Source organism: Homo sapiens, chromosome 2 (assembly GCF_000001405.40).
Source record: "Homo sapiens chromosome 2, GRCh38.p14 Primary Assembly".
Classification (NCBI taxonomy): Eukaryota; Metazoa; Chordata; class Mammalia; order Primates; family Hominidae; genus Homo; species Homo sapiens.
In genome coordinates this window covers 232,010,308-232,032,394 of record NC_000002.12, presented here as the reverse complement: position 1 = coordinate 232,032,394, position 22,087 = coordinate 232,010,308, and the positions used below count along the sequence as shown (strand labels likewise).

Below are 22,087 nucleotides of genomic sequence, written 5' to 3'. Positions count from 1 at the left end.
CCAGAATCTACAAGGAACTTAAACAAATTTACAAGAAAACAAACCATCAAAAAGTGGGCAAAGGATATGAACAGACACTTTTCAAAAGAAGACATTTATGTGGCCAACAGACATATAAAAAAAGGTCATCAACACTGGTCATTAGAGAAATGCAAATCAAAACCACAATGAGATATTATCTCACGCCAGTTAGAATGGAGATCACTAAAAAGTCAGGAAACAACCGATGCTGGAGAGGATATGGAGAAATAGAAATGCTTTTACACTGTTGGCAGGAGTGTAAATTAGTTCAACCATTGTGGAAGACAGTGTGGTGATTCTTCAAGGATCTAGAACTAGAAATACCATTTGACCCGGCAATCCCACTACTGTGTATATACCCAAAGGATTATAAATCATTCTACTGTAAAGACATATGCACACATGCACACATATGTTTATTGTAGCACTATTCATAATAGCAAAGACTTGGAACCAACTCAAATGCCTATCAATGTTAGACTGGATAAAGAAAATGTGGCACATATACACCATGGAATACTATGCAGCCATAAAAAAGAATGAGTTTATGTCCTTTGCAGGGACATGGATGAAGCTGGAAACCATCATTCTCAGCAAACTAACACAGGAACAGAAAACCAGACACCACATGTTCTCACTCATAAGTGGGAGGTGAACAATGAGAACATATGGGCACAGTGAGGGGAACATCACATACAATGGGGCTTGTCGGTGGGTGCGGACAAGGGGAGGGATAGCATTAGAAGAAATACCTAATATAGATGATGGGTTAATGGGTGCAGCAAACCACCATGGCACATGTATACCTATGTAACAAACCTGCTCATTCGGCACATGTATCCCAGAATTTAGGGTATAATATAAAAAAAAAAAAAAAGAAACCCTGCACTTCACAGCACTAATAAAAATTACACTTAAATTTGTATAAGTGTGATCAGTATCTGTCTTTTCCTACCTGTACTCCCCATTAAACTATAAGCTCCATGAGAGCAAGAACTATGTCAATACTACTCATTACTGAATTCCCTACACCCTATGAATACCTGGCATATAGCTATAACTCAATTACTTTAGCTGTATCAGATTAAAAAGAATGTATGCCTCAACAAAGCTCTGAGATAAAATGGTACTCCTCACATCACATCTTTTTTGGAAAAGCTAGTAAGAACATTTCTTGAGCTCCTGCCATTCTAAGATTTTTAGGCAGTATTCTAAAATTTTTACATGTATTCTCATTTAATTTTCATGACAAACCTATGAAGTAGGTACCATGATTATTCCCATTTTACAGATGAGACATTTGCAGCAGAAAGGTTGTACAATTCACTCAAAGTTATAGAGATGAATGGCAGAGATGAGATTCAAATCTAAGTAGCCTAGCCTAAAAGCCCATACTTTTAGTCACTACTCTATAACACGTATTATTGAAGAAGACACCAAATTCTTCAAATAAATAAAACAAAAAAGCCAAATAAAACAAATGATATGAAGACAAATTCAGACTTAGATACATCTATAACACGTATTATTGAAGAAGACACCAAATTCTTCAAATAAATAAAACAAAAAAGCCAAATAAAACAAATGATATGAAGACAAATTCAGACTTAGATACATGTCTCCAATCCTACATGACAATTCAAAGATATTGTCACCACACATCATTCCAATGCCTGATCCTTACTTTTATTTAAAACCATCAAAACTAAAACCATATCTTCCTTTCCAATTAACAGACATAGATGGAGACCGAAACCCAAAATACTCTCATATTAAAAACATTTTCTTCTGCCACTAAATCCCTGATTTATAAAAACACAGACCAACTATTTTTATCTGCCAAGGCACCCAATCACCAAACTGGGCCAACAGAACTCCACATGTATTGCCTGGGTTTTCCACTGGAGGCAGCAGAAATGCGTGGGGACTGCCACTGTCTCCATGGCTTTGTCTTTCTAGTTCTCCCTGCATAGGATGTAGGAAAATAATACATACCAAGTTTGAATGGGCCCTCAGTATTTATTCAAAAGAATACCAAAAACCAGTGCAAGGCATGTGACAGGGAGGATGGATCACTAGAGAGAGAGCAAGGAGAACTCATTTAATTAGCAATCTGCCCAGCAGATGCTTCTAAGTTCCAAGCATTCGGTAGCATGCTTCCAAGATTACACCCCATCTTATCACAGCGCCTAAGGGGTCTGTGACTCCTCCAGTTTATGATGCCTTGTTGGTGCACCATGGAATGTGAAAGACCCTAAGAAATCTGTAATTAGAAAGGGAAAACTTAACTCACCTTCCAATGCTCCTCGGGAAGCAGTTTCACGACCACCAGATCCCCATTTAAGGCTCTATTACGAGCAACAACCCCATCAATAAAAATGTCTCGATCACCATCCTAGGTTGGAAAAAGAAATAAAACAATAGTGAGCTTAAAAACACATAAAGCAAAAAACAGATTGCCTGCTTTCATAACTGAAATAGAAAACAGCAAGTTATTCTTAGGTTATCCTTTTTCGTATTAAATAAAGCATGCTGATACCTTTTTAATACTAAATGAATTTTTTACATATCAAGAAAGTATAAAAATAGAAGGTATGCAAGAGAACAGAAGAGGAACAACATATAATCTCCCCCAAGAAAACAAACTGAGGGCAGGAGTAGCAATGGCTCTAAGATTTGGACTCTCTAGGAGGAAACCAGCAAATTCATAATGCCCCCCAAGAAAGTGGCAGAGAGACTAAATTGTGGTTGTTTTTACGGAGACCTAAGTAGAGGGCAAAGAAGAGAAGGAAAGAGATGTAATATGAGATTCATCACGTGATCTTCACACTCTACCGACCTTGCTGACTTAGGACCACCGTGAACTCCAGACAATGAACACAAGATACAGACACTTTCATCCTCACTCACTCACTCAGAAACAACCCACTTTAAATAATGTGGCTCCCCAGTGAACTCCCCAGGTGTCAACTTCTTGGCTTAAATAGGTGCCAGAGTCTTCTTAGTAAGCCAAATTACTTTGTAATTTTAAATAAACAAGATAGCCAAGGAAATGCAGGCCTTCACCAGCAGTCAGGGTTCCTGAGAAAATGAAATATTTTCAAAATGTTTCACCAACAAACATGTACTCTTATCCTTCTATTCTCTACAAGTTTATATGATGTGCTCTTTTTCAGAGAATAAGAAAGAAGTAAAACATTTTTTCTTACAGGAGGTGACAGCAAAAGAGTCTGGAACATCATCACTCAAATTTTTCTAATAGAGACACTTGACATAGATAAGATTGAACATAACACTCAATGGACTGAAGGTGATTACTATGAAATTTTGGTTAAAGTTAAAATTAGCATCCCAAAATCACCAAATCAAAAAAAGGGGGAGGGGCAGATTTTAGTCACTCAGCATTTTTTACAGCTTCCACTTACAAACCATTAGAGATCTTCTAGAATAGTTTTTCTGCTCAATTTCCAGTTTAGCTATGGGTTGACAGCTGTGGCTTGCACACTCTGCCAAAACTGACCCCACCCTAGTCCCTGAGGAAAAGCTACTGTGTTAGCCACAAAACATGACTGTAGTTGACCTCTTGACAAGCTTCTCAGAGAGATGTGGAAGAGACAGCCAGTAAACAGAGAGAGAACAACTGAAATAAGGCACATCACCATCTATTGCTGCCTTTTGCAATTCAAACAGCAATAGGATCTCTCAGACCTCCTTGGAATGAAAAATGGGCTGTTTGGAGGTCACCCTAACCCATACTCACGTGTCAAACATATGCAATGAAATGCCTCTATTATAAGCAGATACAACCACCCTTTGGCAGCGCAGAGATTTCAGATTGATGGGATGATAGTACTGTCACCTTACAATCCCAGGAAACCAAGGAAAGCAGGGCTGAGTTGAACCTCAGACAACACAAAAATCTATAGCTACTGCATCATACTCAGCTCTTCCTTGATTCATTCAGAAGACTGATCTGTCGCTGAATCTCTTACTTTAAAGACACTAAGCTTGGGAACTGCTCAATATTAAAAGTTTGAGTCATCTCTTTTAACCACTTTTTTAGGCCAAAGATTTCAGCTCTTTGTTTGAATGCCAGAAGTCTTGTTCCACCCATCAGAAAGAATAGATAATAGAAAAAAAAGAAAGAAAAATAGATAATGAACTTCCCTGGAAGAAAAATAATGGAATTGGGAGGTGGGCATGTGGTAATCAGACTAAAGACTTAGAGGACTGGGGGAAGGAGGACAACACAAATATGCCACGATGGTCACAGCATCCTTCATTGATGGAACAGTTCCCTTTGGACCAAAAATAAATTCCACCACTGTACAAAGGGTGCCTCCTATGACACGATGCATTAAAAAGTTAGAGAGCTTCTTAGATTTACATAATTCAGAATAGAAACTGTGCTTTTTAAAAATGACAGGTTTTTCCATCTGATCAATTTTCTCCTCTTTATCCTATCCCCAAATAGGATAAAAGGCATGACAATAATATCATTTTATCTTGGTTTGCTTGAAAGTCACATGATTTTACTCACATTCTGTATTTCATTTTTATTGAGAACCTCACAAAACTAGCAAGTACACATAAGTTACTCATCCTGTATAGTTTAGATGTGTCATGAAATGAAAACCAACTTTCTGTCAGTAGAAATTATAATGAACCTAAGTCAAGTTCCCCTAAAACAAAGTATTATTTTATACCTGCTGACTAATTCACTGTTCTTCACCTCTTTACCTAGGGAGATATTTTAGCATAGCAAATGACATTGTGTAAATTCACAACCATTTTTAGAGTGAGTAAGAGCAAACCTAAATAGTTTAAACAAATCTCTATTTTTGTCTCTCTAAAAACTTTAGAATGTGAGCAACATTAGACAACATTTACTCCATCCCCTCATTTTACAAATGAGGAAGCCACTGTATGTCCTACTGTCAGAGCAAAAGCCTCATCTTTCATATTCATTCCTGCCTTTATGCTCCTAGCTTAAGCCGGTAACAATTAGGCCCTGGTTCTGACATTCTACTTCCCAGTCTATCTGCAGGCATTTTTCATCCCATACATTTTATATGTCATAAAATGAAAATCAACTTTCTATCAGTAGAAGCTATAATGAACCTAAGTCAAGTTTCCAGTTCATACAAGTTCATATTTGACATGGATATGAGATATGTATACTCAGAAATCTAGACCACAGGTGGTTATGGGCTTTATGTATGAGTAATCTGTTGCCTCTATTATTGCCCTCTTCAGTTGCTTTCTATAATGCTTCTGGAAACTGAAACCCACAAAGCAAGAATGTAGGACTGTTCCCGTGTCCAAAACCAGAGTGTATACAATCACTTGCAATGGGCCTTGATTGGTAGCTCTTATGATCTATTCTTAATTACCTAGAGGTGAATTGTTTTTCTCTGAGACAATATTACGACTCAAGCAGGAGCCAAATAAAAGAATAAAAGAGGCATAGAAATAAGCCAATCCTAATATCGCAACTGTCTAAAAATTTCTAAGTATGACGTAGTAAGAATACAATTTTAAGTAAGAGAACAACTATGAGCTTTTAAAACATCACCACCTTTTGCTTTTGTGTCTTAGCTTTCTTTAACAAGCCAGGTTACACCATGGAGATACATCATTTGCAGATGTAAATTACTTGAATTTAGCTTGCAGGAACCATAGGACCTCTGCTCTGGCCCTGCTCCAGCCACAACCCTCCCCATCAGACAAGGAGTTCACAGGGCCAAATGGATGTGCTTCCCTAAAATAAGCAGCCCAAAGCCTACCTCCAGGACATATACAGGCACTTCCCCACCACCGGAGGCACCCCCTCAATGGGGGTGCCTCCACTCAATGGCAGGTATTTCTAATGGGTATGGACATAGCTTAGATACATGGGATAGGATGCCCACGTTTGGGCATGAAAGGGCCCTCACTGAATGCAAGGGAATCACAAGGGGACAGGGAGCTAGCACTGAGAAGGGAAGAGGGGCAAGCCAGAGGTGAAGCCATGTTTCAGCATGGAGCTGCAAGAAATCTGAGAATTCTACATTTGAACTCAGGTATATGAAGGTGTATTTGGCAAGGAATAGACTTTGTCTATTCCTACATGGAATATATAGAATAATATATTTTACTTGATGGTGGTTTTGATGTCTAACTTTTCAATATTTGATTTAAGGTATGTGTGCCTTCTTTTCTACTTCTGTCCTAGGTCCCACACTTGCTAGGAGCCAACCCAATAGGGATTTAACTTAGGGAAATTCTATACTGTGTTATCAGGGAAGAGAGGAAGCAGCAAAATTTTCAAAATGCTGTAGTTCCCCTTATCACACCAATCAATAAGAGCAAACTTAAGCATGCACAAGAGACAAGAGGTCTGAATATACCCAGTTCCCAGCTGTCTCTCAGGATGAACTTACTACATTGAGTGACATTTTCATGCTTAAAAATCTGTGTCTTTCATACATGAGGGCTCCTAATACAATCAAGTTCCTTCAACTGGTATATTCTTGAAGAAACAGTCATGCTTTCTTATGGGAAAAAAACATTGGTTATGCAGGACGTACTGAGAGATGGTTTATCCGTCTCCAACACAGCACCTTCCTAAGAGATTTTCTGGGTAGTTTTTATGATTCCTGGATGTAAATTTAAGCTTATGAGCAAATTCTGGAAACTAACACATATGTAAACTGCACTTCTCGTACATGTGAGAACTGTTCGTGCAGCCAAGTTACCACCTCAAAACTGACCCTCAATTCTACAACCCAATTTTACAACTCAAGTTTCAGGGTCAAGACATATGCCATTTTCTCTAACAGGAACAGAATATGACTGAGAAAGAATAATGTGAATGTCAGTGATACCTTTTATCTAATTCAATGGGTAAGACTCGAACTTGGATGCAATGTGAGTCCCTGGATTTCAGAAGGCAGGGGAAAAGGACTAAACTGAGCTTGAGAATAGGTCATAAGGTTATTGTAACAATAACAATAATATCACTTGAGCATATAAAATCTGAAATGTTCCAAAATATAAAACTCTTTGGGCACTGACATGACATTCAAAGGAAATGCTCACTGGAGCATTTTGGATTTCAGTGTAAGTATGTAATGTAAATATTCCAATATTTAAAAAAAAATTCTAAATCCAAAATACCTCTGGTCCCAAGTGTTTCAAATAAGGGGTGCTCAATCTGTAATAATGACATTTATAAAGTACATGACTGAACCTATATTCTCACTAAACTTACTGTCATTTAAAATAATAAAATATGTTAACTAAAATATATGTATCCCATTTCGTCATCTATAAGCATAAGTTTGGTCTCTTTCACTGTGAAAAATCTGTGATTCTATAGCTATTCTATTTATGGTATCCTGGAAAAGTTAGGTCAGGAATTTAAGAATATTGCTCTCCCAGCTTTGCTCAATCAAACCTTCTCTAGAGAACTGCTGCTAACTATATATCAGTGTAAACTTGATTTAAGTGGAAAGAGCCTCTTAAAATGAGTCATAAATGTAAGAAAGGGTCTAAAGACCCAACGGTAAAGAGCCTTGTACAAAGTTTTATCACCTGCACGAAAGTGAAGTGAGAAACTCTGACCCCCACCAAAAAAAAAAAGCATTACACGTTATTTTTGGACAAATGTTCAGATTAGCTCATGCAGTAGATCCAAAGTAGATAGCATATTTGTTTAGGAAAGATTAACTTAAATCGGTGGAAAAAACCATAAATCCTTTTAAGCCATAAACCAAGGGCGTCCAGTTACACGAACTGGTGGGTAGTCTGCCTGGGTCCAGCTGCTCTTTGCAGCCTTGTAACAAATGCCATCCCTTTCATTTGGCATGCGATTTTAAGACTGACAGAAGGGGTTGTTAACCAAAAGAAAATTTAGTTTATTTAAATTTGAAACAAATCTTTGCCCATCGTCAATTTTGTTTCACTACTCTGCTTTTTAGTTAGAATATATGATTTCAGTTTCGGAGCAGATCTAAAAAATTAAATGTGACATAAAGTTTATTATAAATTTATTGAACTTACCGGGGAAGGAATGAAGGCTTCATGAAACTTCTTTGGATTAATTCTCAATACACCCTTTAAAACAAAAAATAAAGTTTGTGAAAATCTAGCTATATATTTACGATTTTTCCACGTATGTTATTCTCCAATAAAAAGTTTTAAAATTAAACAGGTCACTTGAGAAAACAAGTTAGATGTATAAGAAATATTCATTAAATGCAGGAAACACAATTTATGTTGATATCTGAAATAGAGGGTTCTATCAAAAACAGAAAGCTTAGACTGGCACCTTGGTGTGAACAAGCAAAGGTAAGGAACAACAGAGCTTGGCGTAGAGTGGGAAAGTGGCAACTATTAGGATTTTAGATGCCCCTATATGCTAGTCTTCAAATTTAAACCTTGACTTTACAAACAAGATTACCTAGGGATTGTGCCTCACTATATAAAGGCCTTTTTTTTCTCCCAGTTCCAAGACCTTTCCACAATTGCTTGTTTCTGTGACAATTTTCAAAGTGGTACAGGTTGATTTCCAAGCTAGATACTGAGCCTTATGAAACTGGATGCATTATTTTTTACTCTGGCCCCTCTGCAGAGCTGAATGAGTCAATAATTCAAAATGGTCCATAACCAGCTCTTAATGCAAACTGGAATCCTGGCTCCAACAGCCAGGCCACCCAGTCTGCCTTCAACTTCATGTTATTCCAGCACCAAATCAGGGTCTGCTTCTATTTACACACAGGGGTGCAGGTGGGGGCCTCTTCAATAGCAGTTCAGTATTTCAGGCTCTTGCAGGAAGCTGTAAGGCTCCCCAGGTTCCAGCTGTAGTCTCAGGCCACTGGAACACATGGATGGAAGCAGTTATTTTTCTAACAGCCAGACTCAAAGGATATCTTGAGAAAGTGTTTTAAATAACATTTCTCCCTAAAACGTTTAAAGACTCAAAGATACATAATTAACAAAACAGGCAACGGCATAAAATAAAGCAGAAAATAATTTCCTTCTGCACTGTACCATGTTTAAATTACAAATGTCCATGCCACAGTTTACAATATCATGAACACTCAAATAGACTACTACAAATGATCATTCAGTCCTTAATTCAACAATTAATTATTGAGTATGGACTATATTCAAGACCCTGAGACACACTGATGGAGAAGATAATGATTAACTAAGCTCAATCCCTATTTTAAAGGAAAACATAAAGCAGAGGTACAGCTTACTTTCACAGCGAGGGCACCAGAAGAGGCTTCAGAGATGGTATCTGACCTAGTCCTTTACAGAAGAGCAAAATTTGCAAATAAATCAGATGAGAAGTATAGTAGAGGACACTGTGTTAGCAAAAGTGGTTAAGAGGGCACTCACTAACTCTTCTCCATTGTGCGATAACTCTGCCTAGCACAGAAGAGGGAGGGACCAGGAGATAAGGTTGGCAAAGCTCCCCAAGGCCAGTCCCTTGTTAAAGAGTGTCACAGTAAATCCACTTCTAGACAGCTGTTTCTTGTTGAGGGAAGGAGGGAAAAAACTTACATTTAACCTAAATATTCATCCACTCACTCAACAAATATTTCCTAACGAATAGCATGGCAGGCACCATGTCAAATGACGGGGTACAAGGGAGACTAACAACAGACAGTCTCTACCATCACAGAGCTTACAGTCTCGTGAGGGGAAGAGACTCCAAACAAACAAAAGTCAATTCATTGAAATTAAATGTCTAACAATTTCATTTTCTGATTCCAGATGCTTTTCTCTGGCCTAAGTTTTTTTTTCAATTCCTATTCTTCTATCATCCCTTGTCGCTCAAAGAATGGTTAGCATATGAACAAGTACAGAGATCAGAATGCCTCTAGCTTTGAAAATGCCTTTAATTGCAGGGCACTCAGACAGGCCAGGCTGGGCCCAGGGAAAAGAGACAGGTTGCTCAGGGCTGCATCCAGGCTCTATTTAAAAGAAAAGATGTTAAGAAGACCTTGAAGATTTTACCCTTGATTCTCTATCCCAAACTTCCCAATATATACAAAAGCACACAAGGAAGAATAGAAACCTGGTTCCACAACAGCATTTGCAAATTTGACTGGAGCATAACTCTGAAGAACTGGACCTCGGAAACAGAGCCCTTGAGGGAATGCAGATCACACTAAGAAAGCAGAAACTCCCACAGAGCTCCGCAGCAGACCAGAGTTGTTCCTATAGCCTGAGAGAAGCAGCTGGCATTTAAGTCTGTCAAAAACAAATGGTCATTTAACTAAAGGATACTTCCCACAGATCTCGTCTTACTCACCTACAAAAGTCCAAGGCTTTCATTTCTATAGCCATCCCCTAACCTGACCCAATTGCCCATCTCCTGTCTTCTTCCTAAAGCACTTCCCTAGGCCTGAAACTTGATCAGTGAGGATCCCATAGCCTCCATCTCTTCTCCAGATGCTCCTGATTCTTCGCCTTAATTGAAACCTGGCTGTTCCCTGAAGTGATTGCTTCTCTCGAGTGCTCTCAGAGGGAGTCTATTTTATCTCTCATAACCCATGTATCTCAGGGACCAAGGGAGGAAGGTCTCTTTGCTTCCCCATCATGACTTTAAAAGTATTTTTTCCTCCATTCTCTTTCAAAAATCCCAGATCCTTTAAAGTTCATATCATTAGCACCTCTTTGGTGCTGTCATCCTCAAATTTACAGGTGGGTCAAAGCTCCAATTCACTAACATTTTGACTAGCAGTTCACTGCCTTCCTCTCTATCCTCACTACTATATATATTTTTGGGACTTCACATCCATGTTGAAGACCAAGCAACCCTAGCCTGTCACTCTAACTACCATTTGCTCCCCTAACCCACCTACTCTCTCCCACGTTCACAGCCTGGATCCCGTCAGCACTACTAATGACACTACCTCAAAAAAAAAAAAAATTCAAATATCGCACTTTCCGATGGCAATCTTCTGTCTACTTATGGTAGAAACCCCACTTCAACAACTCTTCGATTTCACTAAGATCTCCAGCCCAAAGCTGTGACCACATTGTCACCATTCATTGTCCTCCCACTGTTTACTCCCTTCTCTAGCCACCTAATTGCCATGGCCTATCATTATCTATTAACGTTGCAAATCCTGAACAAACCTCTTACTCTGATACTCAACCAGCAAAAGACCTTGAAGATTTTACCCTTGATTCTCTACTCTCAACTAACCCCAGCTATCTGCTTTCTCCCTTCCTATACCCCAGGAGCTAAACAGTACCATAGAAAAACACCACACAACTGGGCTAAATCAGTCTAACTGGCAATCACAAACATACTGTATTTGGCTTGTTTGAGAGTCCTTAAAACTGAGGAATTTCACACATATAAAATACATATTTCCAGATATTCTTGAAAAATCATAAGATCTAACAGCTTTGGACAGGGTTCTCCAAATGACAGCAACCACCTAACCTGAATAACAGACGCTCCTCTTATAGTAATAAAAACAAAACTCAAGTGCCACTTATGCAGGCATACGACATGCCACACACTCTTTGAAGAGCTTTATATCGATCAGCTAATTTAACCCTCACAACAACCCTATGAGGTAGATACTATTATCCTTGCTTTTACAGATGAGGAAACTGAGGCACTGAGAGGTTAAGAAAATTGCCCGCTTTCACATCACATTCAAGGCCAGACAATCTGGCTCCAGACTCCATGCTCTCAACTACTGTGAACAGCCTCTCTCTCTGTTTGCCACGGTCACCACCAGGGCCTGTTCACTCATGTATGCCAGCTATCCCTCTTGCCCAAAAACTCAGCACCACATTCCAACCCTTGCTTTTCTCTGTCTTGGTTAATGGCAACATCATCCAGCCAGCTGCTCAATTCGAAAACTCAGCAAGCATCAGGGATGCCTCCCTCTGCCTCACCTTCCATATCTCATCCATCACCATGTCACATCAGTTCTAGCCCCACATCCATCCATCCATCCACTCCTCTCCATCTTTACTGCCACTTTCTTGTTCCCATCTCCATGTTTTCTGACCTGGTTTACTTTGATACCTTCCTGAGTGGCCTCTCAGCTTCCACTCTATTCATCTCACAATTCCCAGAGAGGTATGTTCAAAGCATGAAACAGATTATTTTCTTCCCCTGCTTAAGAGCCTTCAGTGACTTCCTGCTGCTCTTTGAACAAAATCCAATTCTCCAGCATAGCCTAGAGACCCTACATGACTTGGCTGCTGCCTAACTCTCCACTTGTCCCATAATATAACTCCCTTTGCTCACAATGTTCCAACAGGCTTCCTTCTCATTTCTCAGAAACACCAAGCCTTCTTCTGCTTGCTGCTGTTCTACTAGCTGAGCTATCCACCTATGTTCTTCTCCTAATTCTTCAATTGGCTGATTCATTCTCATCTCAGATAACCCACAGATCATCTCACAGAGGCTTTCCCTAACGACCCTACTAAAGAGGCTCTCTCTAATTATTCTCTCTCACCCTTCCCATTTCTTTATTAGCAATGATCAGTCTATAATTTCTTCTCTTTTTCTTTAGTTGTTTTTCCTTACCTCCCCAGTGACTTGCCTAACTTGCTCACTGGTATACGCTTGGCACTGAGTAAGAAGTCAAGAAACATTTGTTGCAGTAATTAATTAATTAATGCCTGCAGAGCTAAAGTTCTCTCATCACCCCCAGTATTAATGTTATGAATATCATCTCTCCCTTCTAAGTGGCTGGGCATTCCACTGTAACATCACATCTATTCCCCTCATCTTTAATTCATCCCCAAGTATTCTCCAGCTGATTTTACTCTTTAAAAAAAAAAAAAAAAGAGAGAGAGACAGGGTCTCACTCTGTTGCCCAGGCTGGAGCACAATGGCATGATCATGACTTACCTACCATAGCCTCCAACTCCAGGACTCAAGCGATCCTCCTGCCTCAGCCTTCCCAGTAGCTAGGAATACAGGTGCACATCACCATGCCTGGCTGATTTTTATTTTGTACAGATGAAGTCTCACTATGTTGCCCAGGCTGGTCTTAAACTTCTGGCCTCAAGCAATCTTCCCACCCTAGCCTTCTAAAGTGCTGGGATTACAGGCGTGAGCCACCACACCCTGCTTGATTTCACTCTTAACAAATGGTGAAGGTCCCAGAAACTAGTTCATCCTGACCTCTATCTTCCTGGACTAGGATTTTTCAGAGAGCCAATAACAACTTCACACCAATATTCTATTCTAAGAGGAACTCCGACATCATGACTAAGACAGCTCTGGAGGCTTAGCCTGAACTTCCTTTAGCCAAAGCATCTTTTGGGATCTGAAACAGCCAATTCTGCCATGTTCATACCCATGTCACCTTGATCATCACCCTAAACTGGAGCCCCTTCCAGGCTTGTCTATCCCCTACTCTAATCTCTCCCAACATCTCCTATAACAACCTCTCAGTACTCTACCTATGAAGAGAGAAATGAAATACATTTTTTGATGTGAGAATTTATTATTTTTTTTTAAACTTCAAAACTACATGTACATGACCATGTGTTACTGTTATTGCCATTTCAAACACTGGAAAGAGGAAACTGTGGTCTCCTCCCCACATAGGAAAAAATACTAATGAAATGTCGAAGTATTAGTTAAGGTATTGAAAACAAAATAAAAATACTCTACTCCTGTTTTTTTTTAAATCCCCCTTCAATCTCTCGATAAAAGTTTCTTCTCTGGATAGGGAGAAAAAAAAGAGGTCAAAAGAGATGAGTTTGAATACTAAAGTTAACAAAAGTTTCTAAGTATCTCTAATACACTTAATTTTCTCCATCAGCATTAAAACATCCTTTCTTGTCTGGCCTTTTACCTTACCCCGCAAGGCTTGCACACATAAAGTTTATATCAAGCAGCAGATGGACTCTGTTTCTCTGCCTATGAAAATCTTATTTACAGTGTTGTATATTTCACACGGTGACCTCATATCTGGAACCCATTCCTTTTCCCATCTGCAAAGAACAACTGTTCTCATATGTAGGGGGGAGGCCCTGGCTGCAGAGTCCCATGATGTCACAGGCCAGAAGGAATCACTTACAAACTCCTGGGAATTAGAGTTGTTATATTGATCAGATTTTTGTTTTGTTTTGTTTGAGTATCAGCAACGAGTTGCTTCAAAAGCAAAAACTAAAAGGGAGCTGAAGCTAATATCACTGCAGAACGCTGTCCTCTCCTTCGCTGTCCTCTCCTTATCTCTAGACAGGTATAATTCTATAACCAAAATTCTAGGCTAGTTTTCTTTCAAGTTCTAACAACTGAAGTTCCCCCAACTCTTCTTCAAAAGACAGTATCTGGATCCTTTATTCAGTCAGTAAGTAAGTATTTATTCAATATAAATGTATTAAGCAACAGTCAAATGCCAGGCACTGAGCTAACTTCTGGAACAAGACATGACCCTGCCATCAAGGACATGAACAGTCTATCTGGGGGAAACATAAAAGCCAAGAAATGGTGTTAAGTTTAGAATAAAGGGAAAACAAAGAAGTCAACTACAGGAAAACACTAACAGCCAACTCTACTTGGAGAATTAAAATGAGGCTTCTCAAAGTGGGTAACATTTAGGCACGGACTTAAAAGGTAAGCACCATTACATCAAGGCAGCAGGAGAAAGCATTCCAAGCACCAGGAACAGCATGCACAAAGTCACAGAGACATCAAGAAGAACAGTTTTTAGAGGAAAAGACTGGAAGGCTCAGGGTGAATGGAGGAGAGTGTTCCTGGAGGAGAGTGCAGGAGGATAAGAATGGAAAGGCACAATGGGTCCTCCTATGTGAAACAAGAGAAGGGCCAAGAAACTTACAGATAAAATGGTGTTTGGGATATGGGCTGAACAATGAAGAGCAAATGAATGGATTAATGAATGGACTAACATCCAAATGCAGCTTCATCTCTCCTAAGAGAGGCCTTGTCAAATAAATCCAGGGAAAGCTTTAAAAAAAAGAAACACCAATAGGGCTGGGTGTGGTGGCTCATGCCTGTAATCCCAGCACTTTGGGAGGCTAAGGCAGGAGGATCACTTGAGGTCAGGAGTTGAAGACCAGCCTGGCCAACATGGTGAAACCCCATCTCTACTAAAAATACAAAAATTAGCCAGGCATGATGGCATGACTAATTTTTACCTTCTGTAATCCTAGCTACTTGGGAGGCTGAGGCACAAGAATCGCTTGAATCCAGGAGGCAGAGGCTGCAGTGAGCCAAGATTGTACTGCACTCCAGCCTGGGCAACAGAGTGAGACTTTCTCAAAAAATAAATAAATAAATAATAAATTAAAACCACCAAGAGTACTCCAAGAATCAGAAAAACCAACTCATTTTTTAAAAGATAGTTTTCTTTCTTCTTTCTTGTGCACGTGTGCACTTGACCACAGATAAATACAGAAAGGTAAAGAAAGGTGAAGGAAGGAAGGAAGGGAGGGAGGGAGGGAGGGAGAGAGGGAGGGAGGGAGGGAGGGGACAAAAAGGAAGAGAAGATGACAGCATCTGTAAATTGGTTAGATCTTCAGCCAAAAACACAAATACAGAAGCTGGGCTCTCAGAATAAGAGAAAATGGAACACAGCATTTTCAAGTGAGCCAGGTAGCACATGGCAATATTTCTATACTAATGAAAGTATTATGAAATAGACTTAATTCACAGAATATGTGGCCCTGCCTCCCTCCCCAGCCTACTACCTGCCTGATAGTTTATGCCCAAGGAGGCCTAAGCTGCCATACTCCATGTTGTTTCACAAGTTCATGTTTTCGTTAGCGCCACTGCCTCTCCATACCTCCCACACACATATCACTCATCTGATAGGCCCAAACTAGACCCTCAATACCTACCACGAGGGTCACCAACTCCAGGAAGCCTCTCCAGAACCTCAGCCTACACAGTTTCCCCATTTCCCCCCAATATTTTGCCATATACCCTGGTCACCCTTTTATCTGAGCACTTGCCATTTTATCCCCAAATCATCTGTTCACATGACTGCCTCCCACCACTGGGCTGCAAGCTGAAGTACAGCAAGGCAATCTTGTCTACCTCCATGTCAAAGGCACCCATGCTGCACACTTATTCTAACCATAACTGTTCCTGGCTCACAATGGATGCTCCATAAACATTTGTTCAGCCAAACCACTGAACTAGCTTGTAAACATAGTTTGTAAAGTATAAAGCACTCAACAAATACTGTCTATTGTTGTTTACTGCTTCCTTTCCAACCTCATCCATTTTTCTCCGTCGTTCAGCATCCACATGCTCCAGAAAAACTGAACTATTCAATGTTTCATATATCCAAACCCAATTTCTCACTTCTATTGTAGTAGCTCACACTGGTCCCTACATTTGTAAAGCTCTCTCTTATCTTCACTTACTCAAACTGCACCAATCCATGGCCTGGCTCAAACATGTCACTTCCAATAAAGCATCTCTAGACAATCCTAATGGGAAATAGTGGTTCCCTCCTCTCAAATCTCAGAGCACTTTTCCTGTTCCTGTCTTGTGGTGCTTATTACCTCTAAATGTACTGTAGTTCTAAGAAGAATCTGTTACCTCATCATCTCTGTTATGCCATCATAACAGCCCTGCACCTGTTACATCATCGTCTCTCTGAAAGCATATAGCACAGAACAGGAAACAGTTTAATAGATTGTTTTGGATTCTACATATTCAGAGAATAGCCTTCCAGTAGATTTTAAGCACCTGGATGAGTGTTCCTCTCTTCAAGCCTTCTGAAACATCCTCCTTGGACATGTAAGTTTCAAATATGCTCTTTTTCTTCCCTCGTGTGGACCTGTTCTTTGACTTTTTGTCACCTGGCGAAGCACCAATGTCATGTGGACCAGCCACAGCAGACACACCTAGAAACAGGAGGCAGCAATCAACTCTTTCCTCAAACATCTGTGTATTTTTAAAACTGGAGATATTATACCTTTTTACAATTATTATTTAAAGAGACCAACAAGAGACTGAAACTCCCTGATGGTGATTTTTAACAATAACAAAAAGGAAAGAGTGGCTAAGAAAACATGAATAAAATATACACAGATGAGACTTGAGTTTTAAATCAGCACAACAACACGCATGGAACATAATCTGAATAATGAGTTCAGTATTCTTTGCTATTTATAGACACACAGACTTTTTGAAAATAGAAATTACTAAAAGATTGCCACTTTTCTAGAGGAAATTAAACAGCTGTACTTAATACAACAATAAATTAAGACAGCAAGAAACCACATCTAATTCTAGAATAAATCACACAGAATACTTAACAGGTCACTAAAAGAATTATAGTAGCCCTCAGTCCTAAAAGACAGCCTCCACTTCACACCCATTCCACTTTCATTTCAGTTCTCCAGTTATTCAGGCAGACTCCATTTTCCTTTTACTACCTCTGGGGGTCCCCAGGGGCCGGAGGTTCATTCTGTAGTCAGGATGGCTCATTATTGGCTCCAAGGTCACTCTTCTCTCCAGATCCAGAGAAACCTCCACTGCTTAGCTCAGAGTTCCCGCCTTGAGCAGCTCTGTTGTCATTCGCTGAAACCAAGAAGAGATTGGTAATTGGAGAGCGGTTAAGCTGTAGCCTCCTCTGTCCTCTCAGAAATTTAGTAGTTCAATGGCAAAGGCAACATGGTGCCCCTCCTGGGTTCTGGCATCACATTCTCTGGGGCAGTTAGTCAAGCACACCATCTGTCTCAAGTTTCTTTTCAAGGCCTTCACCCTCACAGGTACCACTAGACTGCTTCTTTGGGCCACTTCAACTAAACATCTCCACAAATGGGGCAATGATGTGAAAAATAAGGAATCCTGCGGTTCTATTCAGCTTGTGAAATGCACAAAAATATAAAGAAATATAGTTTTGAAAAGTGATAATAAAGATCTAGAATCTAAAAGCTGTAATGGAATAGGTACTAAACTGGGGCTCAATATGTGGCATTTACTAAGTCCAACTCCGGACAAATGATATACCTCTATGAAACCAAGTAAGTCAATTCCTTAGAATCCACCAACAAAACCTAATTCATTGTCACAACTTGACGTCCCAAACTATGCAGGGAGCCCCAGATGATTCACATGCTTTCAAAACACAGCAATACTGTAATTAGACGTCTCTTCCCCTACTCTTACCTGCCATCACCTCAAACCAGCTGTCTCATCAGAAGCTCAAACAGCTGTATCTAAGGAATATAAGAGCAGCTGCCAGGATCAGCAGGCTGGAATGTGGGGCCCTGCAGCTGGCCCCTGGCCTTCCACCTGGATGCTGAACATGTCATCACAACTTCTACTTTCTAGTCTCTGCTGGCCACCAGCCCAGGAGTCAAGTCTATATTTGAAATTTTTGTGGGCAGCCTGAGTTCCCACAAAATGAATCAAGATGTCATTCTGAACACTAGCTTCCATTTCCTCTATATTTCCCACACACGTCCTTCACCAAAATGATGTAATTTCTCTTTAAATTGAAATTAATACTAACTCAGCAGAAGAAAAGCAATGGAGACAAAGGATAATAGGCCACTTAGGGAAAGATAAAGAGATTCACAGATAAAGCCAATCCAGTTGAAAGAAGGGAGAGAAAGAGATGGCCTTATATAAACAGCAAGGGAATGGGAAAGGCAGATGGAGGAGTCAAGACTGTCTGAGGGCTTAATACAGAAATGCTTTTATCCACTCGTTAATTTCACACATATTTCTTCAGGGCACTACACTAGACAGAATGAAGGATAAGTGGTAAGCACTATGTTTTTTTAAAATGTGGATAAATGTACAGATGACAGGAGAGAAAGAGTATCTCCAGGTCAGGAAACCTGAGAGTACTTTAGGAGAGATTTTAAAGAACTAAGAGTGTGAGGAAAGCATACTATTGGCAAAAGGAAATAAAAATAGAGGCGCAAACAGAAAATACAGGCGAGTTCTCGCAAAATTAATTCCATTTGGATAGAGTCCAGCCTATATGAAGGGAGGCAGTGGCAAGGAAATTAAAACAAGTTGGAAGGTCTAAAAAACTAGGCCAGTTTTTCAAAAGCACTAGGGAGTTTTCAAAGCATGAATGAGCAGAAGAGAAAAACAACAGATTAGAATTGTTTCAGGAAAAATTAACCTGGTACAGGACTCAGAGTCATCTGGACTTGACAGATACTAGCAGCAGATGCATCTTAGGAGAAAATCAGGACAGACAGGTGAAAGGAAAGGAAGACCCGAACTTGAGTTCAGGACACTGAAAAGAAGAGGCCCTTACCATGGTATTACACAGGACAAAGTGGCACCATCTAGCAACGAGGCATGTCTGGAAGTGAGCAAGGTGGGAGTGGTTGTGTGAGATTTCTAGGTAGGAGACTGGGAGTTGGTAAAGTTAGAGAAGATGATGAATTCTACTTGGAGTATTATATGCCTCCACATGGGGCAATCCACCAAATACTTGAAAACAGGAGCAAAAGAGAGAGAGAAGTTAGCCAGTCATTTGCATAAAGATGGTAACACGGAGTGTTCAAGAATGGATAAGATTGCCAAGAAAGGGTACGCAGATACAGAGGAGGGCATAGGACAAGGAACGAACAAGCAACATTCCCTTCCCCGTGACATCATTGTGAAGGCCTATTATCCCTGTAGAAGTCCTGGGCACTCTTACCCTGACAAAATCTGGGTTAGGGCAACTTTTAGGAAATGTAAAGAAGTATAAAATACAACAAAGAAGCTAATGAAGATGTAGGAAAAGAATCAACAGAGGCAGGCATTAAGAAAAAAAAGAGAAAAGAGCTCCCAAGTGAGGACAGATCCATGATCAGGGTATGCTACCACTAGTGACTAAGAAAACAAACGCGGCAGCCTTGGTTGGGGCGAGGAGTCGAGAGCAAACTGCCAGCAACCCAAAAACAAGCGCTGGAATTGAAAATGGGGCACTACATGTCAATCCTGATTCAGGCAGAAGTTCAAAATGAAGGGGAGTTACTGCCAGGTAAGTGAGACAAGGGGACAGATTTCAATTCCAGTGTCCCTAGATCAGCTGCATCTGTATCTTTCCTTCACAGCAGTTATCCCAGTTTGTGTGAGTAACACCTAACTTGTCTCTTTAGCTCAGGGAGACAAGGAATGTTTGATTGGGTTTGTCATTGTAACTCTGGCAGCTCCCACAGCACCTAGGATAGAATAGGTGCTCAAAAGCTGCTCCATAAATGAATGGATGAGTTTGTTTTCATGAACAAGCAATGAGAACACTAAGCAGAGCAGGGTCATACCAGGAAACTACTTTAAAAACAAGTCAGCAAAGAATGGGGGAAGAACGCAGGACTGAGAAAACAAAATTGGCAAGAATAAGCTGGACAGCTAGGCAGGCAGTAAAGGCCACATTTGGGTACCAAAGCACTAGAAGGAGATGGAAAGATTCTGAGTATATAAAATGCTAAGTAGAAAATGAACAAACAATGGCTGGGCATCGTGGCTCACGCCTGTAGTCCTAACACTTTGGGAGGCCAAGGCGGGCAGACTGCCTGAGCTCAGGAGTTCAAGACCAGACTGGGCAACATGGCGAAACCCGGTGTCTACTAGAAATACAAAAAATTAGCTGGGCAAGGTGGCATGCGCCTGTAATCCCAACTACTCAGGAGGCTGAGGCACAAGAATTGCTTGAACCCAGGAGGCAGAGGTAGCAGTGAGCCGAGACTGTGCACTCCAGCCTGGGCAACAGAGTGAGACTCTGTCTCAAAAAAGAAAAATGAACAAACAGGCAGGCACAGTGGCTCACGCCTGTAATCCCAGCACTTTGGGAGGCCAAGGCGGGCAGACCACCTGTGTTCGGGAGTTCGAGACCAGCCTGACCAACATAGAGAAACCCTGTCTCTACTAAAAAAACACAAAATTAGTGTGCGTGGTGGTGCACGCCTGTACTCCCAGCTACTTAGGAGGCTAAGGTGGAGAACTGCTTGAACCTGGGAGGCAGAGGTTGCAGTGAGCTGAGATTGTGCCATTGCTCTCCAGCCTGGGCAACAAGAACAAAACTCCTTCTCAAAAAAAAAAAAAGAAAGAAAATGAACAAACAAGAAATCTTCTATTCCCTGTGACATAGTTATAAAGGCCCATTAAGCCTGAACAAGTCCCTGGGCACTCCTACCCTGACACATTGAAAGCACGGGCCAGTTTCCAATCCTTACTAACTTCCAGAATGAGGGCCACTGATACACTGCCCAACAGCCCACTGGTCCCTAGAAAAGGTGTCCTACCATGGAAATAGTTATACATTCTTAAGAGCTGGGCTGACATTAGGATGAACAGGCAATAGCGGTCAATAATGTCACATGGTACAAGAAGGCAGGAAGGATGAGGAATGGGGAAAAGGCACTAGACCTCACTAAGGGCAAATCTGAAGAAGGCTTCTGGGTGAAATAAACGGTGTCTTGAGAACCTCTGTATTCCCCAAAACCTAGCACAATGCAGAGTACATAGCAAAGGCTCAAAAATTGGAATAAATGAAGCCTATTTGGGACAGAAGTCAGGTTACAACAAATATATACTAGTGAGAAGCATGAGTGGCAGGGCCAGGACTACAATGGGGCAAGCCAGGCACTTAGGGTGCAAAATTTGAAAACGCAAAGTTCTATGAGTACTAATCCCACACTTGCAGGACCCAGGAGTGAGAGCTTCCTAGAATTTTTGTGCCTTATGCATCTCACTTGTCTTAGCCTAGCCTTAGTACTTACGAGTATCAGAGCAAATGGAATGTATGAAGCCGAATAGCGAAGGAAACTCAAAGAGATAAAGTCCAAAGACAGGTTTAGAGAGAGAAAAAGATGAGCCAATGGAAAGCAAAAGATGGGAAAAACAAGCAAAAGATGACTATTGATTAAGAAAAAAAAAGAGGGCAAAATTAAAATAAATCTCAATGAGATTAGAAAAATAAACCATTTATATTACAAATCAGTAAGAAGTACATGGATTAATCAACAAGTAGTATTAAGACACTACTTAATACCATTTTAAAAAAATAACCAATACATCCCTACTTCATAACATATTCCAAAATAAATTTCAGTTTGAATAAAATTTAAATGTTCAAAAATGAGAGACAGAGAC

The 22,087-nt window shown here is 40.3% G+C and overlaps 1 protein-coding gene across 5 annotated transcripts in view; it reads right to left on the bottom strand.

The window, feature by feature from the left end:
* The window catches only part of DIS3L2 (DIS3 like 3'-5' exoribonuclease 2), a 382,638-nt gene that overhangs the window by 311,956 nt on the left and 48,595 nt on the right, over positions 1–22,087 (bottom strand). For all 5 annotated transcript variants that reach the window (NR_046477.2, NR_046476.2, NM_001257281.2 and 2 more), the window contains exons 2-5: positions 17,416–17,560; positions 16,724–16,881; positions 8,065–8,118; positions 2,315–2,416 (exon numbers count right to left, since the gene is read on the bottom strand). Coding sequence is in view for 3 of the 5 variants with exons in the window: in NM_001257281.2 (NP_001244210.1) it covers positions 2,315–2,416; positions 8,065–8,118; positions 16,724–16,881; positions 17,416–17,467 (366 nt within the window). In the remaining 2 variants the exon portion in view is untranslated. The remainder of the gene's footprint in view (positions 1–2,314; positions 2,417–8,064; positions 8,119–16,723; positions 16,882–17,415; positions 17,561–22,087) is intronic.